We start from the raw sequence: 23,938 nt of genomic DNA on the forward strand, positions 1-23,938 counted from the left end.
GGGGTGAGAGGGGAAAGAATGGGAAATTGAAAGATGACACCCAATCCAGTAAGGGCAAGCAGACAGCCTGTGGTTCCTAGGAAGTCTCTTTCTCTGAGCTTGCTAAGTGCTGCCTGTCTCTAAGCTCTGGGGTTCCAGATGCTTCCCTGCAGGTCAAGGCAGGAAGACAGAGGGGCAAGCCAAGCTGTGGTAGCCATAGGGAGGAAGAAGGTGTTGGTCCTGTGGCAGGAAGAGGAAGCCAGGGGCCCTGCTAAGAGGCTGACTCACCCCACATCCACTCATTTTGGGGCTGGGTCTACCACTTGTTTATTTGAGAATGGCAGAAGGGGGGAAATGGGAGGACTGCCTGAGAGGTGCAGAAGAACCTGCTATGCAGAGGTCTGAATTGGCTGACCTCAGTCACAGAAAAAAAGCAGGTGCCCTTTTCTTCTTCCTACCCCTAACCGGATTTTATTTCAATTCTCTAATATCATGTGAATCTTGAGGAAAGGTTGAATATAGCCTGGGAGGACTGTTGCCTAATGCAGAGGAAAGACAGCACCAAGAGAGTTGTCAGTTGTCTCCTCCTGCTCATCTAGTGATTTCTATGCCTCCTCTGTAGAGAGAGCATAGCAAGGTGGTTAAGAGTCTGGGCTTCCAGGGTTCAAATCCTGGTCCTGCTGCCTTCTGGCTGCTGTCTTGGGCAAGTATATTTAATCTTTCTGTGCCTCAGTTGCCTTATCTGGACAAGTGGGCTAATAGTATCTACCCTCACAGCATTGTTGTGACAAATAAATGATGTACTACTTGGACAGTGCCTGGAAAAATGCCTGGCAAGTATTAGCCATTACAAAGGTCAACGTAATTATGCTGCTTTATAGGTAAGATGACTGATGGCAACTCGCCAGGCACAATCAGAGGCCGAGAAGGGGTTGGACCTCTTGTTGGTGCTGTGCCCACAATATTTCACAGCCTTGTTTTTAAAAGATAAGTTGTCTCCATGATCACTCCTCTTTTCTAAGCATAGCGTGGGATTTCAAATGATAAAATTTCAGCAGGCTGCCTTCTCAGGGGATGCCAAGAAACATGAGCTGTTAGACTTGGGTTACAGTAAATCACCTTCCTTTAAGTTCTGGTTCTGGTTGGCCAGACAGCTGTTCCATTTGCTAAAAATAGATATGTTTGCCTTTCTGTTTGACCTGTAAATGACAGGATCATCTATGGACAAGCTCTCCAAAGAGTGCCTCTGGCTTAATTAGTAAAAATAATTTTGGACTTGGGGTCCAGGGTCTTGGTCCTTGGATCTACTGGATCCATTACAAGCTTCTAAACCTCAACTGAGCATGGCTCATGGTGACAGGACAAGTGCCTGATGCTCTGGTATATAAAATAGGAAAAATAATGTCTCTGCTTTAGAGTTGAGGTTAGAAGTGTGAAGTGCTTTGGGGACCCACAGGAGAGATGCTAGATCAGTTCCAAGTAGTCTATCATGCAAAAGGATTGTCTTTCCATGACCAAAGGGAAAAGAGAAGTCGGAGTTTAGACAGGGTTTTAAAAGTCAGCTAAAGGCTCCCACATTGCACCTGTGGTTAACAACCACAGGCCGTGTTGCATTCTTTACCTGGCACTTTTCGGGATAATACAGGAGCATTTAAAAAATAGATAAGTCAATGAATGCACTTAGGGGGACATCGGCTGCCGCTGCCGTCAGCTGAAATGTTAGCTATCTACCGTCTTATAAAACGCCAGGAAAAACCTCTAAACCTTAGAGCCGGGGAATTTTTTAAAAAATCGGAACCAAATCTCCGTGGCTTCGTGCAGCGTGAGTTCTGCAGCTCGGGGGACGCTGCAGTGTGATGTGGTGGAGAGAGCATGCTTCACCGCTCCTGCCATCCTGACAGCGCCCTCCCTCCCGGCCTCAGCCTCCTGGTTCGCCAAACCGGAGGACTGAATTTATGGCTAGCTGGTCTCTGGGGCGCCTTCCAGCTCTGACATTCCCGCCTAGAATAGATCTTCCCGAAGGTTTCGCAGACAGACCAGAGGGGACCGAGCCGGGAAGGCGAGACAGGGACAGGCGAGAGACGCTGCTCCCAACTCGCAGAGGGAGAAAGCGTGTATCCCGGGCTGCCGGGGAGAGTGGAAAAGAAAGGACTGGTGACCGAGGGGTTTCTGCGCAGCTCCCGGGGAACCACGGCTGGATGGGGGTGGCGGGGAGACCGGGCGCCCATGGGAGCGGGGAAGCGGGGAGGCGGCGGCGGGAGCCATGCAGGGTCTGGGCCCCTGGGATGCGGGCAGAAGCGATGGGAGATCATGGGGAGGGCAGCCCGGCGGGAGGCGCGGACGAACAGGACCGCCCAGCCGCGAGAAGGCTCAGCCCAGGCAGGGGTCGGGGCGCGCTGGGCGCGTGTGGGGACGCACCTGGGTCTCCTCCTCGGAAAGGCCTGCCTCGGCCGCGATGAGGCACAGCGTGGTGGAATCCGGGTGCTTGTCGACCTTGTTGAAGTTGTACTCCAGGATTTCCACCTGGTCCTCTGTGGGGCCGCTCGCGGTCTCCGCCGACATGGTCCCTGCGCGCTGCGGGGCAGGGAGAAGCGGCGGCGGTGAGCGAGGCGTGGAGCGGGCGGGACGCAGCGAAGGAAGGCGGTCGCGGCGCCGCCGGGCAGCCCCAGCCCCAGGCCGCCCCCTCCAGCGGTGCCACGGCCGCGCAAGTCCCCGGTGGCTGCACGCTGAGCGGGGGCTTACGGCTGCCCCCCACCCGGGCCTCCCTCCCTGGACTGAGCGCTGTTGCGGGCTGACGGCAGAGCCTAGCGTCCTGCGCCTCCCGCGCCCCCCGGGACCCCTTGCAGGAACTGTATCCCTGCCTGCGACGGGGGCGAGATAGATGATTCCGCGGGCCCTCACCGACCTCCGGCTCTAAGGAAGGAGTGAAGGAAGCGCGGGGGTGATTTTGAGAAATCCCCTTAAAAACTTCCTCCCGAAAGGGGGACCTCCCCTGGGGACAGACTTGACAGATCGCGAGGGTGGGTTCGCCCGAGTCCGCGACTAGCCGGCCTCCGGCCTCCCCGGTAGGCGGCCTTCTGTCTCCGCAGTGGGTTGGCGCTTTGGGGCCCTCTCCAGGCAGGGCTGCACACCCCACCCTTCCTCCAAAAAAGTTCCCCGCAAGACAAGTTACTTCTCAAAGTTGGGGAGACGGAGGCGGTGCTTTTAATGTCTTTCCATTTTACAGAGATGGAGATAGGTCCGCAGAGAAGTGATTTAAGGCAGGGGATTGAGACACGGGAGAAACTTCCACCTGTGGGCTTGCATGTGCCACTCTGCCGCTCTGCAACCTCCTCCTTCAACCCTTCGCCCCCACTCTTTCTAAGTATGCTTTAGTGAGTCCCCGGCCTGCAGTCACCAGGCCACTATTCCACAATTTACGGCAAAGAGCCTGCCTCACTGTGTGCTCCCCGAGGGGAGGACTTGCAAGATGGAGCCACAATCCAACTGAGGAGGATCCAGTCAGCTGTCTTTTAAAATTTCAGACTTCCCTGTGATTGTATTAAAATTTACTATAAAGTCAGGAAAATGGGCCCATCACAAGCTTCAAGATCTCTTGTATCTCCTTACTTTAGAGCCAACCATTACTCTAGCAAATTTGAAGCAACATGACTTCCTGCTGGGTTCTCTCCATACCTACGAAGTCTCTGAATTGGGACCAAAAACTTAAAAATTTTAAAAATTGGCAGATGTAACCCCATCCACCTCCTCCTGCTAATTTAAGATGCATGAAGGTATAGAAAGTTGGAGTCTTCAAGATATCCTTGGCTGTGGGTTTGGCACACCTGTCAGGACTTGACTGTCGCTGACAGTAAAAGACAAGGGCAAGTGTGGGAATCACGTTGGTTTGTTGTTTTAACAAACAATTGCAAAATCATCCAGCACAATCCTGAGTAGGTTGTGATGTGGTTTGTGCCTGGGATGAGCCACACTTCACTGATGTCCCGGCAGAATGTACCCAATGCTGTTATAACCTTCTCCACTGTGACCTGCATCTTCTACTTCCTAAATAAGTGTCTTTACCTCTCCTTTGGGTCACTCTGAAGGGGCTTTCAGGCACAACGGGAAGTCATTCTACTGTGAGAGTCTGGCTCAAGTCACTTGCCAAGCCACCATGAAATCCCATGTTTTTAGGGGATTCTGTGCTTTCCCACCTAAAAATCATAGCACTGATTCCTGTCACGGTGCTAGGCAGGAGAGGGTCATACCAGGTCAGAAACACTTCTTCTTCTGTGTGCACCCATTGCCCGTACCTTTGACACACAACTTCAGAGCTGGGAAGAACCTTGGAAATTACCTCTTCCAGTCTTCTTCTGTAACAGCCCAGGAAAATGAGCATAGGAAGACTAACTTTCTGAATGTTGCCCAGCTGGTGACCTGTGCTCCGCTAGACCCTTCTCAGTGGGGCAGTCTGTCATTAGTCTGGTAGGAAAAATCAGGAGGGCAGTAGTCATAATGCAGGCAGGAGCTCATTGCCATTTTGAATGGGCATAGACTGTCCTAGTAGGACACCAATTCTAGCCAAAGTTGCCCACGGGAACCACCCACCACTGCTTGCTTCGCTTGAAAGAAAACAAGGGCTGGGAGACAGCTGCCTCTGATTTTACTTCTTGCCTTAGGAAGGTTCCAGCTAATTTTGTGTAACATAGTTGTGCCGGCTCTTCCATGAAAATTTTGTCTTTTTCTTTGTAGAATCCTCAGTCCTTCAGAAATATTAATTTCTAAACTGACTGTTCTGCTTATACTTTCCCCTCTTTTTTGGTTATTTAATTCCTGTTATAACACTCAAGGGCTGCTACTGGTCTTACATTTAATTTACTGCATTTTATTTTATGAGATTTCTGTGGCTTCTTGTTACAGGACTTTGTATGAGATTTTGTGGAGAGGTCCTGGTTAACTTTAAAGAACTCCTTGGGTTAGTTGGCTGAGAATCATTGGCTTTGGTTGGCTGCTGAGACTTGTGGGAGGACCATTTGAAAGCGCCTACTTCTCCAAGGTACACCAAGCAAACCTGATTTCTAGAAACGAAGGTGGAAGATCTCTATAGTCAAATGTATCTGTTATTTCTCTGCAAAGCTCTCAGCCCTTTGCTTGACAAATGTTTGCTGTTACTTCGTTTCTTCTCTCGCTCTGTCTCTCTTAAAGAAGATATAAATCAAACTGCCTGGGTAACCTTGGCCTTATAAAGCTTTTCAACTATTTCCAGTAAGAAAACAGTTGAGAAGTTTCTCTGAAGATAGTCTAAACAATTTCAGATTAAAAGAACTAAAAATACTTTAAAGCTACTCAGACGTTAATCTTAGCACAAGTTTTATTGTTGTGGCTATTCATATCTCATCAGACATTCAAGGAGTAATTTGTCCTGTGGTTATATTTTTCCTTTGTGGTTTTGGGAAGACATTGCATAAGCTTTTTCAAGATGTTACATGCAATCTGCTGGCTTTTTTCTAAATTAATTCCAATGCTTGGGGTAGACAGTTGGGTCAACCCAATGGTTCTACTTTTGTCCCCTAATCCTGTAATCATTTATTTTAAAAATATCTACTTTTATAAACTAGCTCACAAAAAGCACTATCAACTGGAAATCTTTGGTTACCTCTGTAGTAACCAAAAAATTTCTTTGGGCTCAAATTTGTCATCTTATCCTCCCTCTCCCAGTCATTCTGACCTCTTTGTAATAGCACTAATATCAAACCAAGAACAAAAGGTTATCAATGGCAGATTCTCCAAATAAACCCAGAGTCCTGTGGTGAGCTGGCCAAAAGGGAAACAAGCCAGTGGATTATTCTTTAGCCTATATTTCTTTTATGCTCACTGTGAACTTCCTGGAAGCAATGGGCTCTTGAAACATTTTGTATTTTCCTAAGTGAGGAAAATGATGTGTGGCCACTTCCGCAAGAGAAGTGGTGGGTCTTTGGAAGGGGATGGGGTCTTCCCCTTCGTCACTTATTCAGTTACTCTGAAGGTGGTAGAAGGGGGCATCGCCCAAGCTGTCAAGGCGCCCCAGAAATTGAAAAACAGAAGTTGAGTATTCATCTGCCTCTCCAGGCTAGCACAAGAGCTGGAAGGAGAGAGAGAGAGAGAGAGAGAATTGTTCTTTTAAGTATAAACTTGGAGATTGGTATCCTTAAGCTAACAGCAGTGCTTCTCAAGCCTGGATGGGCTTCAGAATTACCTGTGGAAATGTCTAAGCCCACCTCTTGAACCAGAACTGCATTTTAGAAACCTAGCACGAGAGAGACACAAAAAGTATTTCAGCTCTTAAAAAGATTTGCAATTTAATCATTAAAATCAATTCTAAATATTCTTATGCCGTATACCTGCTCTAATGCTGTATATCATCTTAACATTTAAGTAGATGGTAGGTTGAAGTCATTTTAAAGGAATAAGCTTTTAGAAGTAGATATTAGAATGACTAATTTAAACCTAATGCTATTAATCTTTTGTATATGTGGTCAGAAATGGGGAAAATGCCTTTAAAATTATAAATTAGCAAAAGAAAACAGATATTCTCCAATGCTTTCAAAAGTTCAGAAATGAAATAAAACCCTTTTAAAAACTTTTCAGAAAAAATGCATTCTTGTGATGAGATCAGAGTTTAAGAAAGCAAATCATTGAAAGGAAAACTCCTTCCAGTTCATCACACACATTTTAAGTAAATGACTTGGATGCCAAAAGTCACAATGGAAAAGATTTGGCAGTCTTAAGTATTACTGTTCTCCTCTAATTCCTTAAATTTCCCAATGAGAAAAATTCTAAAATTTAAGTTACTATTTATGTACAAAACATATTTAATAGAACTTAGAACCAAACATTACTCTGAATACATCCCAAATACATAGCATCATTGCTACCTTTACGGGAACAAGATCCCAAATCTAAATAGGAAAATGCATTTTAAAATGTTATATTGATTTCAACTTTATATATTTAAAAAAACTGGAGAGAAATACCACAAAATGTTAACAGTGGTTATATCTAGATTGTGCAACTATGGATTTGCACAATCTAAAACATTCTCTTCTTTATATTTTTCTGCTTTTTCAAATTTTCTATAATAAGCATTTATGACTTTGGGATTTGAAAAAAAATTTTTTTTCCCCCTATATAACAATGTCCTCAATCGGACCAGTTGTCCACCTTGCTCAAAGTTTTATTTGATTATTGGTATCAAATAATATTTTTGGAAAAGTATGAGAGTTGTTCTCCAAGACTATTTAGAAGATTAGGGAAGTAAATATTTTCATTTTTCATGCAAACATGATTAGGTATCAAATAGATATATGTAATGTACATGCAAGTTATGAAGCATAAATTAAATAAACACTGGTGAACCCCGCTCAATTTAAGCATTAAAGCATTACCAAGACTATGGAAGCTACCTGTTTTTTTCCCGGAGTCCCATCCCCTTGCTGACCTGCCCCCAGAAAAAAAACACAATTCTGAATTTTGTGTTAATCATTCCTTTGCTTTTCATTTTATTTCAATTTTTTAGAGGCAGGGTCTCGCTGTCACCCTCAGGTTGGAGTGCAGTGGTGTGATCATAGCTCACTGTAACTCCTGGGCTCGAGTGATCCTTAGGCCTCAGTCTCCTGAGCAGCTGGGATTACAGGTATGAGCCACTGCGTCCAGCCACTGCTTTTTAAATTAGTTCTATCACATATGTATGGATCCCTAAAAGAACTTTTTTTTTAGTTTTGCTCTTGAGTTGTTTAAAAATGATGTCATACCATATATAATTTTTCTGTAAATTGCTTTTTTCACTCAACAGTGTTTCCAGAACAAATCCACATTCTGCGTATAGAGAAGTTCGTTCATATTCAATGCTGTTTTTATTTTGTGAATATACAATTTATGTAGTAGATGTCTTTTCCTACTGGTGGATATCTAGGTTGTTTCCAGATTTTTTTCTGTTTGAACATTGCCTCTCTGAACACTCTTGTATATGCCTTCTGCAGCCTCTCTATGAGGATTTCTCTAGGGTATACAGTAGGGGTAGAACTCCTGGTTTATAGAGTGTGTGCTGTTTAGCTTTACAATATAACGTCAACTTGTATTTTAAAGTTGTTGAACAAAACTACACCCCTTACCACCAGTGTATAGCATTTCCTTTGCTCCAAATCCTCATCAACACTTGTACGGTCAAACCTAATTTTTGCCAAAGTTGTTGTGTGTTCTTTTTATCCATGAATAGTATCTAAGCCTTCTTGAAGCTATTTATGTTTTCAGCCTGCATGACATCTTGGGGCTAAAAGTTTCCACATGTTTACTGTTTACTGTGTAAAAATATTTCCTGTTGCAGCCCAAAAGGAGAGTTGAGTTATTTTGTGAGAGTTATGGACTCTGTTTCCAGGCTAGCCCAGTTATTTCCATTGGTCACCAAGAACAATACAAATATAATGTATGGAAAACTAATTACTAAGACCCTTTGTCTGTATCATGCTAAAAACGTTACCATTTTCTCCTCTACAGAACTCCTGGGAGTCAGGATTTGATTTTGTGCTTTAAAATATGTTAGCCTTATTAATTATTGGTCCCTCCCACAAAAGTAAATATCAAAGTCTCCAAATGAAAACCACAGAGATAGATTGAAAATGACCAATTAAAGAAGAAGAAATAAGGGAGAGATGGAAAGTATAAAAGAAAAATGAAAAGAAAGTGTAAAAGAAAGATGGACAGAAAGCTGTTAGGCTGTGGGTTTAAAATAGGATATCCATGTAAACTGAAATAATGCGCTTACATGTTTAAACAGCTAAGTGCCAGTTCAAAAGCAGTTTGATATTAGTTATTTTCATTTCTTTCACAATTCTCTCTTAGAAATCAGAATGGAGTTAGTTCTATTTTGAGGTTTTTTAAAAAGAGTTAAATTGTCTACAGCATCAGAGGAAGACTCAGAATTCTACCTTTTATTCTGGCTATAGCAGTAAAGGCTGTTGATTTCATGAGCATCAAGATTGATTCATTCGTCCAAATGTATTATTTTCTTTCTTTCTTTCTTTCTTTCTTCTTTTTTTTTTTTTTAGACGGAGTCTCATTCTGTTGCTCCGGCTGGAGTGCAGTGGTGTGATCTTGGCTCACTGCAACCTCCGCCCCCCGGGTTCAAGCGATTCTCCTACTTCAGCCTCCCCAGCTGAGATTACAAGTGCACACCACCACACCTTGCTAATTTTTGTATTTTTAGTAGAGATGGAGTTTTGCCATGTTGGCCAGGCTGGTCTGGAACTCCTAACCTCAAGTGATCTGCCCGCCTCCGCCTCCCAAAGTGCTGGGATTACAGGCATGAGCCACTGTGCCTGGCCCCCAAATATATCTTTCTTATGCTCTATTGATGTCAGAGGTTCTAAGATATCACCAAATCACCTATTTGAATATTTAAGCTCTAACTTGATCATCCTCTGTCCCTTTAGTTAAGAGTTGGGGCTGAAGGCAGCCTGTCTTTTCTTTCCCACTGTGGGATATAGGCCATTTTCAACCTTTTCCTGCTTCATTACTTGGCTACTGGGGTGACATTCTTTCAGACTTCCATGCATCTCTTTAAAAAGCCCTAACACCTACTTGACATTAGGCAATAAAGATAATGGGATCTCTCCTTTCAAGTTTTGTTCTGATTCCATTTTTCACAAGAGTAAATTGAAATGCAGATGATTTGGGCAGGTTGTTCCTTTGTTCTGTAAAGTCTGAGCTCTTAACTTTTGACCCCATGTAACAATTACAGGTACAAGCAGAACCACTTGCTATCAGGACAAGCAAGCATGCTGTTCTCCTAGAACACGCTGCACTTGACTTGATGAGGCAGGAAGACTGAGATGACAGCTATACTTGAATTCATGCCATTCCCACTGGTCACCAGTGACCACACCCTCCTAGGTACCTCTTATTCCTGCAAGTTTTGTCGAGTCAAGGTGTCATCAGGTTTGGTTTTTGATGGTATATATCTCAGTAATTAGTCCATCTCTTAAAAATACGAAGTGCTGCCTTTTGAAATTTTTCAGTTCTGCATATATGATGTGTGCCTTTTTTGGTTTTTAGACAGAGTCTCGCACTGTCCCACAGGCTGGTGTGCAGTGGCACAATCTCAGTTTGCTGCAACCTCCGCCTCCCAGATTCAAGCAATTCTCCTTCCTCAGACTCCTGATTAGTTAGGATTACAGGCACCTGCCACCACGCCCGACTAATTTTTTGTATTTTGAGTAGAAACGAGGTTTCACTATGTTGGCCAGGCTGGTGATGAACTCCTGACCTCATGATCCGCCAGCCTCGGCCTCCCAAAGTGCTGGGATTACAGGCGTGAGCCACCGCGCCCTGCCTGATGTGTGCCTTTGTAGGTGCTCTGTGTAGTTGCTAAACCAGCTTGCTATTTCCCAGGTCCTCCCTTCTAGGTTGGCTTTCCTCTTGCCTTAGGAACCACTCTGTTTTAGAAACATGGCAAAATTAAGAACAAAATGAAATTGGAATTAATGTAGAAAAAAGTTCAAATAATGAGAAGTCTTCTGTACTAATTATTTGAAATGTCACTTTGCTGAGCCTCCATTTCATTTATGTAAAGAAGGAATATAATAATGTCTACCTTTGCCTAGTTCACAGCTTTATGGTAAAGTTCTTATGATGTTATTATAGGGAACATGTCTCTCAACTGTAAAGTGCTTGCTTGGAAGATTCTTTTTTTTTTTTGAGATGGAGTCTCACACTATTGCCCAGGTTGGAGTGCAGAGGCGTGATCTCAGCTCACCAAAACTTCCACCTCCCAGGTTCAAGCAATTCTCCTGCCTCAGCCTCCCTAGTAGCTGGGATTACAGACGTGTGCTACCATGCCTGGCTAATTTTTTTTTTTTTTTTTTAGTAGAGACAGTGTTTTGCCATGTTGACCAGGCTGGTCTCAAATTCCTAGCCTCAAGTTATCCACCCACCTCAGCCTCCCAAACTGCTGGGATTACAGGCGTGAGCCACCATGCCCAGCCTGATATTACTATTAAATAGCTATGAGCTAGGCTTTCCGTAAAGTATCCCCTGGATGGCAAACCAGTAAGAAGAGCTTATAAACTTCACTTCTTCTGGGTTACAATCTCTTATCTTTCTGGAACGGTAAAGCACAATGGTTGAAATTAGACCCCTTAAAAAAAAATCCAATGCTGTATATTTGCTTTATCATAACATGTATCCCTACATGGCACTTCTCAAGAATGGCATGGCAGGGAGGGATGTGATATCTTAAGCATGTTTTCTCATTATGCACTTGTACACTGTGCATTGGTTTATACTTAGTTGTTAGCATTTTCACTAAAATAATTATTTCTCTGCTCCTTCCTCACCACCATTCCCCAGTTCCTCCTCTCCTCTCATCTATTAATGAGGAGGCATAAATAGGACAGAAGATGAGTAGTGAGGAAGGTGATAACAAGGAGGAACAAATATTTTATGAATTGGTGAGTCACTTTTTTGAGATTGTCATGGCCTATGAGAGTAATGACCAAATGGAAATTCTTTGTTTTGTTTTTTGGAGACAGGGTCTTGCTCTGTCACCCAGGCTGGAATGCAATGGCCCAATCATGGCTCACTGCAGCCTCAACTGCAGGGCTCAAGCGATCTTCTCACCTCAGCCTCCTGAGTAGGCGGGACTACACGTAAGCACCCCGACGCCCAGCTGATTTTCTTTATTTTTAGTAGAGATGGGATCTCGCTATGTTACCCAGGCTGGTCTCAAACTCCTGAGCTCAGCACAGTCCTCATGCCTTGGCCTCCCAAAGTGCTGGGATTATAGGCATGAGGCACCATGCCTGGCTGAAATTGTTTTGAAATAATTTGTTCATAAGCCTGTCTTCTCCAGTAAATTATATGCACTTCTATGGGGGATGTGTCATTTCTCATACATTTAAATCTCCCCAGTGTTCATTAGGAGAGTCTGGCACTTAATATGTGCTCATTGGATGGCTGTTGAACAGAACCTAAACAATGGCATTTGACATGACTTGATTTAGGACATAACTTTGGAAAAAACTGCTCTGTGTTCAACAAGGACTAGCCAAAATGTAAAATTGGAGAAAATAACACTCTAGCCTTTTGATATCATCCTCAGTGCCCCCAAACAACATAGAGTTGATTCCTATTGCTGAATCACCTACAGAAACCTCACCTCTGTTATTATAACAATAGTGACAACATATTTGTTGAATAATTACTGTGTGCCAGGTCCTGTCTAAGTGCCTTAGATGCATTCATTCACTTTATCATCAGAGGAGCAGCAACACTATGTGTTCTTATTGTTTTCATTTTATATATGTAGAAACTTATATAGATGGAAACTTATATACCCTTCCCAAGGAGATGGATATTACTTCCTCCAAATCACAAATCTAGTATGTGACAGAGCACAGATCCAACCCAGAAAATCTAACTTCTGCATCCATGCTCTTAATCACTACACCATCTTTCCTCTTTGCACCGAACAGTTCTGCAGACAGCAGATCCTTGATGGGAAGTTGTGGTGAAAGGGGCAGTAGAGCCAGGTGGGCTCGAGGAACAGAAGAAAGGCAGTGCCCGGTGTCTGCTCTGGCTCCCTGTGGGTTGGGGCCAGTCTGAGTACTTCCCTCCCTGTGGCGTATTTCTCAGTGTTGGTGACCAGACATGGCTCTGCCCTAGCTCAATGGATTAGCCAGTGATTTCAGTTAAAACCACCGGCACTACCAGCCAGGCTGGCTTTCCTTCCCCACACGCTCTTCTTCAATTGATGCAGACATCATTGAAAGATGGCATTATGTGAGTAATATAGAATACAAACAAGAAACGTTACAGCATCTGATAGAATAGAAAGGCTGGCTTCAACCAGACCAGCTGGAGCTCAGTGATGATTGCTGCCACTTAATCCCTAGAGGTACAGAGTTTTGTAGAATTAAGGATCATCCTGAAACTGTTGTTGAAACAAGTCTCTCAGTAGTCCAGACTTTCTGTAGCCGCTTACTGAAAACAGGAAGATATTATGAAAAGCCATTGGAGGAAAGGGTGTCTGTGAATGACTTCCAGCAGTGAATGAATCATTAGTCAACCCTGGACATAAAACTCTGCATATGCCCTGAGTTCTTTTCACTGATAGCCCAATTCGTGTTCTAATCTTGTATGTGGAAACCTGGGGAAACAGTGAAAGATGCTCATAAAACTTAGGCTTCTTCTTTGAATGTGCTATGAAATAAGTGGAGTATTTAGTCTACTTTCATAGAAATAAATGGGCAAACAGAAGAAAGCAATTCCATTTCCATAATTTCCATATAGATCTCCATTTTGTAAACAGGTTGCTTTTCTAAAGGTCTAGTCTAACTCTATGATGATTGTTATGAATTCAGAAAAAGTTTTCCCGAGAAAGAATATTGTAAGTGTGTAGATAAGATCCCAGGCTAACCCACTAAAGGTTTCATAGATACTAAACTGCTATATATCTGTAATGGAAAAAAGTATAAAATAATCCTATTGAAATATCCTGGTGAAATTTAATAAGTTATTTAAAAGAAAATACTTAAGAAAATTCAGTTTTAATTAAAATCTTGCTTAGGGAAATGAGGTTTTGGTGCAGATATTGAAGAGGGTTTCAAGGAACTGTTGAGGACTGTACAGATTTATAGCACAACTTCAACGTGTCCAGGTATCCAGAATTGTCATTGAAACATTGGTAGGTACTCAGTGAATATCTATTAAATGCATGTTGATTGAATTTCATCTTCCCTTCAAGAAGTATGACTTTCCTTTATCTTGACATAAAAGCATAAGGTTCTCTTTAGAAAACACTGATATTTTCCCCCAATATCGGAAATCTATTTGCCTCATTTCTTGGTGTTTTAGGACGTTAGACATTTTCAAAGAGATTTGATAATTCAATTTGTTTGACAAATCTAGCCTCTTCTCTATTATCCAGTTTGAAAAGCCCTGAGTGCATGGCTGTGCCCCATAGAAATCTCTAGGACAAACTGTTTTTTTTTCTCTGTTTATATTTGATCACAGGACTGACTCTGTTGGAGATGTAATGGATATTCACACTTACTAAGCATTAGCACAACCGTATTGACAATAACCAAAGCAGGCAGAGGCCCAAGCATAACTCAGTCTACCAGACAGATTCCTATCCTACATATTCAAGTTGCAATAAAAATGAAAGATTGGGAAATTTGAAGCTAAAATGTTTCCTCTTGCCTTTAACCACAGAGCTGCAACACTATGCATTTTTAAGAGTGAAAAACAGCCTCCTGTTCATCACTGTAGTTAAGTATATGTTTTCCTTTCCTCCAGCATCCTAACAGACCTGCATTTTGCTAATCCCTAATAGCAGCAGTGATACCTAGGTTCAACAGGAGCATTTTTACTATTCTCTACCTAAGTGAGAAATTTAACATTTTATGTATAATAAAGGGACCCGATATCCAGGTTTGCCTGGGACACTTCTGATGTACGCCTGTTGTACTGGTGTAATTATTAATAATTTCAAGATGGAGTCTCACTCTGTCATCCAGGCTGGAGTGCAGTGGTGCGATCTCGGCTCACTGCAACCTCCGCCTCCCAGTTTCAAGTGATTCTTGTGCCTCAGCCTCCTAAGTAACTGGGACTGCAGGCGCCCACCACCATACCCAGCTAATTTTTGTATTTTTAGTAGAGTCGGGGTTTTGCCATGTTGGCCAGACTGGTCTCGAACTCCTGACCTCAGGTGATCCAACCGCCTTGGCCTCCCAAAGTGCTGAGATTAACAGGAGTAAGCCACCACACGCGGCCAAACTGATTATATTTATATACTTGTGTCATAGATGAAATAAAGAAAGCGAACAAAGGAGAATGGAAATATCAGTGTGAGAAATAGGTTGTTTGAGAAATGATTAATGTTGTTAACTGTGAACAATAAAGAAAAAGCAGGAGTTACTTTGCATTTTCTTCTCCTCATCCTTCTACCCAAGGCACAAGAATGGAGATAGAAAGATTTTGGCCTTTCATTTCCCTACCCAACCACCAAGTGGTGCTGTCAGGCAGGAACAGTTTAGTTGCTGGCCAGAGCTCTTGGCATGTGGGAAGATAGAGAAGCAGAAATAATGTGTCTGTTCTTTTTTTAGTTTTTTTAGAGATGGGGCCTTGCCGTGTTGCCCAGGCTGGTCTTGAACTCCTGGCCTCAAGCGATCCTTCCAAGTCATTGAAATTGCCGGTCTGAGCCATTATGCCTGGCTCTGAAAGAAGATACTTTTGAGTATATAGCACTAGTTGCAGAGGGAATGTTTGTGTATCTGTAATGGATAAATTATATGTAGGAAATACACTTTAAATCCTCACTAATGAATGAAAATATTAAACTGGTATGGAGTCATAGGATGGGCACTGGGTGTGGAGTCAGGGCTGGATTTCATTTCTAACGCCTCCACTTCATACTCACATATCCTTGGCTGCTTTATTTAACTTATTTAAAACCTAGTTCTCTTCTCTGTAAAATGTGGCTAAGAATGTCCTTCCTTGCCTCTTTACTCCAGTTGTGATCCAGTGAGATTATGCTCATGAAACAACCTTGCACTTTTCTAGTGTAAAACGGCATATGCATTTCCCGAAGTGTTATACTTATTTCTTAATCTAGAAAAGTGAAGGTGTGGGCCAGATGACTTCTGAGGGAGTTTCTCTTCTCAAATTCTGACAGTCAGAGTGGCCTAGGTTTTAAGTGATCATGTTCTTCCTCATCAACAGTTTGCTGATGTCGCTGACTCAAGAAAGAAGAACACAGAGGCCTATTCTAGGCTCTGCTCCTGATTTGCTGAACACTTTGTGCCTAGTTTCTACTTCAAGGGACAACGGAGGAACCCATGAAACACTAGGAACCAAGGAGCTTCTTAGTATTCAACCTGGCTGTTGAGTTAATGTGATCATATAATTTGTCACCTAACCTAGAACACTGAAGAATAAAAGGAGTGCTATTAATAATTACACCAGGGGAGGCCGAGGCAGGTGGATCACCTGAGGTCAGGAGTTCAAGAGCAGCCTGGCCAACATGGCAAAACCCCATCTCTACTAAAAGTACAAAAATTAGCCAGATGAGGTGGTGGGGGCCTGTAGTCCCAGCTACTCAGGAGGCTGAGGCAGGAGAATTACTTGAACCCAGGAGGCAGAGATTGTAGTGAGCCAAGATCACACCACTGCACTCCAACCCGGGTGATAGAGCAGGACTCTGTCTCAAAATAATAATAATAATAATAATAATAATAATAATAATAATAATAACACCAGTACAACAGGCATACATCAGAAGAGTTCCAGGCAAACCTGGATATCGGGTCCCCTTATTATACATAAAATGTTAAATTTCTCACTTAGGTAGAGAATAGTAAAAATGCCCCGGTTGCACCTAGGTATCACTGTTGCTGTTAGGGATAAGCAAAATGCAGGTCTGTTAGGATGCTGGAGGAAAGAACAACATATACTTAACCACAGTGATGAACAGGAGGCTGTCTTTCACTCTTAAAAATGCATAGTGTTGCAGCTCTGTGGTTAAAGGCAAGAGGAAAATAGCTTCAAATTTCCTGATCTTTCATTTTTATTGCAACTTGAATATGTAGGATAGGAATCTGTCTGGTAGACTGAGTTATGCTTGGGCCTCTGCCTGCTTTGGTTATTGTCAATATGGTTGTGCTAATGCTTAGTAAGTGTGAATATCCATTACATCTCCAACAGAGTCAATCCTATGATCAAATATAAACAGAGAAACAAAAACGGCTTGTCCTAGAGATTTCCATGGGGCACAGCCACGCACTCAGGGCTTTTCAAACCAGGTAATAGAGAAGGGGTCAGATTTGTCAAACAAATTGTATTATCAAATCTCTTTGAAAATGTCTAATGTCCTAATACACCAAGAAATGAGGCAAATAGAATTCTGATATGGGAAAATGTCTCAATATTTTCTAAAGAGAACCTTTAAACCAGAAGAGAAATGTGTACTACTAAGCTTGGAAGCAAATAACAAAAGGATCAACTTTCTAAATAGTTTGCAGAGAGGAAAAATGGCTCAAATAAGTTTAAATGGCAGCTAATAAATATTCCTTTTATGTTTTGGAGTACGTTATTAATTTTTGATTGCCCATTTAACTTCTTTTGTTTAGGAGAACATTAATTAGATTAATTAGGTCAATACGCTGAAGGATAGAGAGATGTATTTGTTGCACGGAAGAGGAAGGGTGCTCAAAAGCTTAAATGATGATAGAAATCAGTTTGGTAGTTTAAAAAAATCTAATACAGGCCGGGCGTAGTGGCTCACGCCTGTAATCCCAGCACTTTGGGAGGCTGAGGCGAGCGGATTACTTGAGGTCAGGAGTTCGAGACCAGCCTGACCAACATGGTGAAACCCTGGCTGTACTAAAAATACAAAAATTAGCCAGGCATGATGGCAGGTGCCTGCAATCTCAGCTACTCGGGAGGCTGAGGTAGGAGAATCGCTTGAACCCGGGAGGCGGAGGTTGCAATGAGCCGAGATTGTGCCGTTGCACTCCAGCCTGGGTGAAAAAAAAAAAAAATCAAATACAGATAAGCTACACATACAATGGAGAATCAAGTAGATAAAATTGTCATATTGCTCTGTAGACATCCAATCACTTTAGAACATTAAAATGTTCTTTCTAAAAATGTTCTCATTCCTAATGCCTGACTCTGAAAAGAGCTGTTCATTTGTAATTCTGGGGATGTGACATCATGATTGGTTTTTTTGAAAATATATGCTGGGTTCTACGGTATTTTTGCCTGAGCTCAAATTACATAGTAAGATACATCAGAGACCTGTGTGGTGTTGCACATGCACCATGGGTAGATTTTCAGGCTGCCCAATCACATGCCTTTCCTTAGGCCATTAGACTGTCTACTGCAAGCAGACAGAACTTCCTCAGGTTAGTTGTGTATTTTGAAAAGTCCAGAAAAGAGTCTTTGACAGAATGGAATTATCTCTTTGCATAAATATATATTAATAGATTATTATTTTTATGGTCCAACTACCATTCTTATTTTATGACTATAATTAGGTCATGGATAAAATGACCCACAGCTGGTACCTTGCAGAGCTCCAAATTATGCCAAAGTCCAACCACCCATGCTGCTTGTTGCCATGCTACTCAGTGATATGGACCTGATTTTTTTCCCCAGTTGAGTGGTTTTTATGAGCAGGTGTTCAGCTAATAGGACAAACAGAGGGTGTGCAGCTTTAGCCAGCTCATTAACATCACGAAATAATTGAAAAGGACAGATACACCAGAATGTCCAGCTCAGGGGACAGCTTTGAACCTACAATAGATCACTTTTCTGAGCATCAGCCGTGATACTGCAGAAAGAGATTGAGTGAAGCTTCAGAAGACCCGGAGTCTCCTTCCAGCTCTATCACATAGTCTCCAGGTAACTTTGGACAACTGTCTTAATTGCTTTAGACGTCCATTTCATCATCTACTATTGAAGCTATTAACCTGCCCCACCTGTCACACAATGTTGTAGGATTCCATGAGATGGATTATGTTTATGAATGGCACTATAAATTATCAACACTACATAAATACAAGGTACCATTATTAAGGTTCTAATCTAGCTTTCCCAGTGACTCAGGATATAATTGGGCAACAAAATGACATCAGGTTTTGCAATCATTAAAATGGCAAAACATTTTAGAAACTTCACTCAACCTCATGACTAATAAGATTTCTTAGAACATTTCATTTGCTTTTTCTGGGTAATCAGTAACCAATATCGAGAAATAAAATGCTTCTAGAATTTATAAAGCCAAGTTTAAGAAAATGACATTTGGCTGGGTACAGTGGTTCATGCCTGTAATCCCAGCACTTTGGGAGGCTGAGGTGGGAGGATCACTTGAAGCCAGGAGTTCCAGACCAGCCTAGGCAACATGGAGAAACCCCGCCTCTACTAAAAATACAAAAATTAGCCAGGCATGGTGGCACACGCCTGTAATCCCAGCTGCTCTGGATGCTGAGGGACAAGAATCGCTTGAACCCGAGAAGTGGAGGTTGCAGTGAGCCGAGATGATGCCACTGTACTCCAGCCTGGGCGACAGAGCAAAACTTTGTCTTAAAAAAAAAAAAAGAAAAGAAAGAAAGAAAAGAAGATGACATTGAATGCAACCACCCACTGCTAAATTTGATTGGCTAAAAAATTATTATTATTATTACTTGAGATGGAGTCTCACCTGTCTATTTTTGTATTTTTAGTAGAGACAAGTTTTTGCCATGTTGGCCAGGCTGGTCTCGAACTCCTGAGCTCGGGTTGTCTGCCTGCCTCAGCCTCCCAAAGTGCTGGGATTACAGGTGTGAGCCACCGCACCCAGCCTGACTGGCTAAAAAAAATTTTTTTAATAAAAAAAAGAAAAGAAAATTATATTGAGAAGGGGAGATCACTGAAGATTGTGCTCTTTTAGTTCTAGAAAATTATTTGTCACTCAATCTCTTATTAAAGTACAAGGGAACATGGAGAAGCTTGTAAATGTTTGAAATACTAACTGGTTACATTATGCCTCCATTTATCATGGACAGTTCAATATTCCATGCTGTGTGAATAAAACATAAAACCTCTAGCCCACTCCTTTCCCTTTCTGTTTCCCATGAACCAGATCTAAAGGGTGGTAGAACAAACATATGAGAATATTCATTACAGCATCATTTCAGAGAATTGGAGGCAAGAAAGATGTCCATTACTGCAGGAGTCAATAAGTAAAAGATACATATAATTAACAGACTATTGATAATAATGCATTAGAAATATCATCAACAACATAGATACATCTTAAAATTATAGTGTTCAGTGAAAAGAAAGAGAGAAAAGAGGGAGAGTGGGAGAGCAGGAGAAATGGAATGAGATATAAAACCTAAGAGGGGGTCTTGTGTATGCCATGAATTAAGGACTATGTTAACTCATCATACGCCTAAAGACAAACAAAAAAAAGGGCTTTAAAAAATAAAAGATTGGTGGACTGCCCCATCTTTCAGAGCTTGTCTGTGTAATTAATTCTTTCCACTATATTTTTTGTATAATGAGGGGAGTACTTCATGGCTTACTTAATGTCCTTTATACTGCAGCCCCACCAATCCTTGGTCTTGGATTTTTTCCTCAAAAGCCAAGATGAAGAGCTGGTTATTGACCTCCACGACATCCTTCCATGCTTTTCAACACCATCATTCAGTGGCTTTATAGCCTTCTCTTGTCCAAGCTAAATAACATCAGGCCTTTCTGTGTTCCTTATAGATCTGATTTGAGTGTGTGTGTGTAGTCTCGCTCTGTCACCCAGACTGGAGTGCAGTGCTGTGATCTTGGCTCCCTGCAGCCTTCGCCTCCCGGGTTCAAGCGATTTTCCTGCCTCAGCCTCCTGAGTAGCTGGGATTACAGGCATGCACCAACATGCCCATCTAATTTTTGGATTTTTAGTAGAGACGGGGTTTCACCATGTTGGCCAGGCTGGTCTTGAACTCCTGACCTCAGGTGATCCGGCCACCTCATCCTCCCAAAGTGCTGGGATTACAGGCATGAGCCACTGCACCCAGCCCTAATTTTACTATTGTTTAGTCAACTATTGTTTAACTCTTGAGTTAGTTCCAAGGACTCTCCTCCCTTTTCAGCTGTGGAACCCTGAGCCAGGTACAGTGTATTAATGAAAGTAGGGGTGGCCTCCTGCTTTCTTCCCTCCTGCTTCATAAATCCCAGTTCCAGCCATCTCCAAAGATGCTAGTCTATGTCCCAGGAAGAGGGTAAGGCATATACAATAAAGTGATAGATACTTCCAACATTAGTTATTAAATTAAATATTAGCCACTGAATTAAAGTTTTTTGTAAAACAGATTTCACTCCTGGCACCAGCAAACTGAAAATCTGGAAAGGGTTGATGGAGATATCAGGGCTAAGGAAGATTGTTTATGTACATTTCCTTAGGGAGAAGCCACAAGGAAGAAGTGAAAATACATCAACAACGACTAGACTATCTAAGCAGATCTGTCATGACCTTAAGAATCCTAGGAAATTTTCCTCATGATCCTAGATGGAATGACTAGACCTAACAGCCAAAATGACTGCCACTGGTTTCCTGCCCAGTATACACTAAGAGATTAGAACTGATCAATGTCTGCCTCAGGTTTTTGTTTCATTTCTTTCTGAACATACAAGGACAGAGTAGATCATTTGTGAAAGGTCTGGCACTGTTTTCATGTTTGGTCACATTTTATCAAAACTACCAGAAGCAAATTACAAGAAATTATGTGGAGATGGGTAAAATTAACTTCTCTACTTTTTATTTATTTGTTTGTTTTAGAGATGGGGTCTTGCTATGTTGCCCAGACTGGAGTACAGTGGCATCGTGATCATAGCTCACTGCAGCCTCGAACTTCTGGGCTCAAGCAACCTTCCCGCCTCAGTCTCCCAAGTAGCTAAAACTACAAGTGTGTGCCACTATGTCTGGCTAACTAAAAAAAAAAAAAAAAAAAATGTAGAGATGAGGCTCAAACAATCCTCCCACCTCTGCCTTGCAAAGTGCTGGGATTATAGGCACAAACCACCATGCCCAGCCAACTTCTCTACATTTAAAAGAGCTTCTATTGCTACCCAAGCATGGCCAAATAAGAGGCTGAAGCACCTGACCTTGTGATGAACAATTCCTTGAATGCCCGACATTTATACTGAACTTCTTTTTGGTTTAGCCAACATAAATATACCAGTTCTCAGCCTTGGCGGGAGGGATACAATGCTTCCCACAGGAACCCTGAGTCACGGGGAGAGTAAATGACTTGGCACAGAGGTCAGAATGAGGACTGGGGCTGACTGGGTTCAAGAGCCAGCTCAGATACAAGCTCATCCTAAGATTCCAAGCAAGTCACTTTATGCTGTTGCATAAAGTAGATTGTACTCATAGGTAACCATATAGTTCATTGCTCAGGCCAGGTATTTTTTAGAGTAAAAGGAGGTGCTATTAATAATTCCACTGGGACAATGAATCTTTCAGGCTCACAGCTGCTTCAAAATTCCATTACAGCTGAGAAAATAGGACCCAGGTTCCTGCTCACCAGACCTGTCCTCTGCTCCCCTGGCAGGAGATAGCTCAGCCTGGAGTTCTGGGGAAGATTGTTCAGCATATTGTAAAAGATAGATGTAGGCACTTTCCCAGCAAATAAAAAGGACAGCCTAACCTGCATCTGCTGTATTGCACTGTGTGTTCAAAATCAACAGCACTGGAAGGCCAAAAACACATTAGGGCCCTTGCCCAGGAAGACAGCAGATACATGCACCTCCTGCACCAGGAGACATGAGCCTTCCATTTGCAGCATCAGGCTTGCTGCCCCTCTATCAAACCTGTTCCCCTGTTCCCCAAGTGAGTGGGCAGGATGGGTATGGTCCAGAACAGAGCAGGGGCTGCTTCAGGATCCCCAGGTGATGGTTTTTAAAAGGGCAGGTTACTGCTTTATAAACCACTCCAAGCCATAGGTCATCCTTCTACCAACAATGTCATCTTTCTATAGCACTGTCCACTGTCCCTATTCACTTGATGTTTTAAAAGTCAAAGGAAGCTGGCCAGGTGTGGTGGCTCATGCCTGTAATGGCAGCATTTTGGGAGGCCAAGGTGGACAGATCGTTTGAGCTCAGGAGTTCAAGACCAGCCTTGGCAACATGGTGAAACCCTGTCTCTATCAAAACTACAAAAAATTAGCCAGGTGTGGTGGTGTGTGTCTGTGGTCCCAACTACTCTAGAGGCTGAGGTGGGAGGATTGCTTGAGCCTGGGAGGTGGAGGGTGCAGTGAGCCGAGATCATGACACTGTACTCCAGCCTGGGTGACAGTGAGACTCTGTCTCAAAAACAACAAAAAGTCTAAGGAAGCCATCAACAACATCCAGAAATTAAGCTGAGTTAGGTCATAACACAGCCTTAAAAAATGTCCAAGTGACCTCTTGAACTAAGTCATTGTGTAATGAGAGAATTTGGAAATGAAGGTGAAGGAGAAATATTCAAAGAAAAGTCATCCAAGGAAGGAAGAAATTCTATCGGTCATACAAACCTGTTTTATCAGTCTTGCAAACTTGTCATTTGTTTTTCTTTTCTTTTTTTTTTTATTTTGGAGAAACTCTGAATAACAGGAAAAAGCACAGGAAAAAGCATTTGGCTTCCAAGTAGGGGCATTAAACTGGTGTTGACTGCTGCCCTGATGCCAACGACCTAATCCGTTCCCCAGAGCTAGAGTGCCAGGGCTCCCAGGGACTCAAGATGGAGCTCGCCTTCACCCTCTCCTCCCCACTGCTGCTGTCACAATGTGTCCTCTGGCTGCAGGGCTGCTCTGGGCTCCGACTGCCTGCAGACTGCCTCCCCAGAAGGGATGTTAATTACACACCCAGCCACGCCCCTCTTCAGAGACAGGACTGGCCACAGGCAGCTGCCACTTGTTTTCAAGAACTGCCACAATCTGGTTTTCAAACTGGGCAAAAGTGCCCGAATGGGCCCATGGCCACATGCACTGGGAGGGGGTGGGGGGGCTGCCCCAGCTGCACAACTGGGTCCCCAAAGAATGAGGCTCCTGGCCACTAATACTAGGCAAGCTACTCTGCTGGTGCCAGCCTTCTGCTCCTGAGAAAGAAGCAGGTAATATTCTAAAATCCTTATGAGCAGAATTTCTTGACATTTTGTCTCCATTATAGTAACCTTAAGGTGGCTCTCCATTTTTCAGAAAGACACAGGAAATGCAGCTACTTCTGATGAGTTCAACTGCATTGACAAAAAATGGACTAATTTAGAAAAAACAATCTAACAGGGCCCACAACCTATAGATGGTTGCCTACTGGATATGGTTTGAAAAATTATACTGAAAACCCACAATCTTGGTATATTTTTGCCCAGCAAGTTGCTTGGAATTCTGACCAATAAGGAGCACATATTTTGCATAAAACTTTGATTTGCCTGATT

At 42.8% G+C, this 23,938-nt stretch overlaps 1 protein-coding gene and 1 long non-coding RNA gene across 17 annotated transcripts in view, besides 4 other annotated features; one reads left to right on the forward strand and one right to left on the reverse strand.

The window, feature by feature from the left end:
* HOPX (HOP homeobox) overlaps positions 1-23,938 on the reverse strand; it is a 33,709-nt gene that overhangs the window by 5,462 nt on the left and 4,309 nt on the right. For 3 of the 15 annotated variants that reach the window (XM_017008728.2, NM_139212.4, XM_017008729.3), the window contains exon 2: positions 2,398-2,553. In XM_017008728.2, coding sequence (XP_016864217.1) covers positions 2,398-2,553 — 156 coding nt within the window. Of the gene's footprint in view, positions 1-2,397; positions 2,554-2,840; positions 3,059-4,271; positions 4,443-5,833; positions 6,080-6,193; positions 6,245-23,039; positions 23,108-23,938 lie in introns of those variants that run through there. The other 12 variants (NM_032495.6, NM_001145460.2, XM_047416321.1 and 9 more) reach the window with 11 other exon arrangements.
* LOC124900708 (uncharacterized) lies at positions 1,832-14,514 on the forward strand. Of its 2 annotated transcripts, none has more exons than XR_007058129.1 (3): positions 1,832-2,133; positions 4,879-5,014; positions 9,734-10,098. It is a non-coding gene; the product is annotated as an uncharacterized LOC124900708 (long non-coding RNA). The 2 variants fall into 2 exon arrangements; XR_007058128.1 differs by lacking the exon at positions 1,832-2,133 and adding an exon at positions 11,523-14,514 and having other exon boundaries at positions 4,434-5,014; positions 9,734-9,885.
* Positions 9,180-9,995: an enhancer, noted in NCBI's record as "OCT4-NANOG-H3K4me1 hESC enhancer chr4:57528805-57529620 (GRCh37/hg19 assembly coordinates)". NCBI's record gives its function as "activates a minimal SCP1, AML or CMV promoter by ChIP-STARR-seq in naive and primed H9 embryonic stem cells {active_cell/tissue: H9 hESC(naive and primed)}" and the evidence as "EXISTENCE:reporter gene assay evidence [ECO:0000049][PMID:30033119]".
* Positions 9,180-10,810: a biological region, named in NCBI's record as "hESC enhancers GRCh37_chr4:57528805-57529620 and GRCh37_chr4:57529621-57530435".
* Positions 9,937-10,127: a silencer, noted in NCBI's record as "fragment chr4:57529562-57529752 (GRCh37/hg19 assembly coordinates)". NCBI's record gives its function as "represses an EF-1alpha promoter that drives an FKBP-Casp9 reporter gene in an ReSE screen in phorbol 12-myristate 13-acetate-treated (for megakaryocytic differentiation) K562 erythroleukemia cells {active_cell/tissue: K562(+PMA)}" and the evidence as "EXISTENCE:reporter gene assay evidence [ECO:0000049][PMID:32094911]".
* Positions 9,996-10,810: an enhancer, noted in NCBI's record as "NANOG-H3K4me1 hESC enhancer chr4:57529621-57530435 (GRCh37/hg19 assembly coordinates)". NCBI's record gives its function as "activates a minimal SCP1, AML or CMV promoter by ChIP-STARR-seq in primed H9 embryonic stem cells {active_cell/tissue: H9 hESC(primed)}" and the evidence as "EXISTENCE:reporter gene assay evidence [ECO:0000049][PMID:30033119]".

The sequence above is a fragment of the Homo sapiens genome, chromosome 4, assembly GCF_000001405.40.
Source record: "Homo sapiens chromosome 4, GRCh38.p14 Primary Assembly".
Classification (NCBI taxonomy): Eukaryota; Metazoa; Chordata; class Mammalia; order Primates; family Hominidae; genus Homo; species Homo sapiens.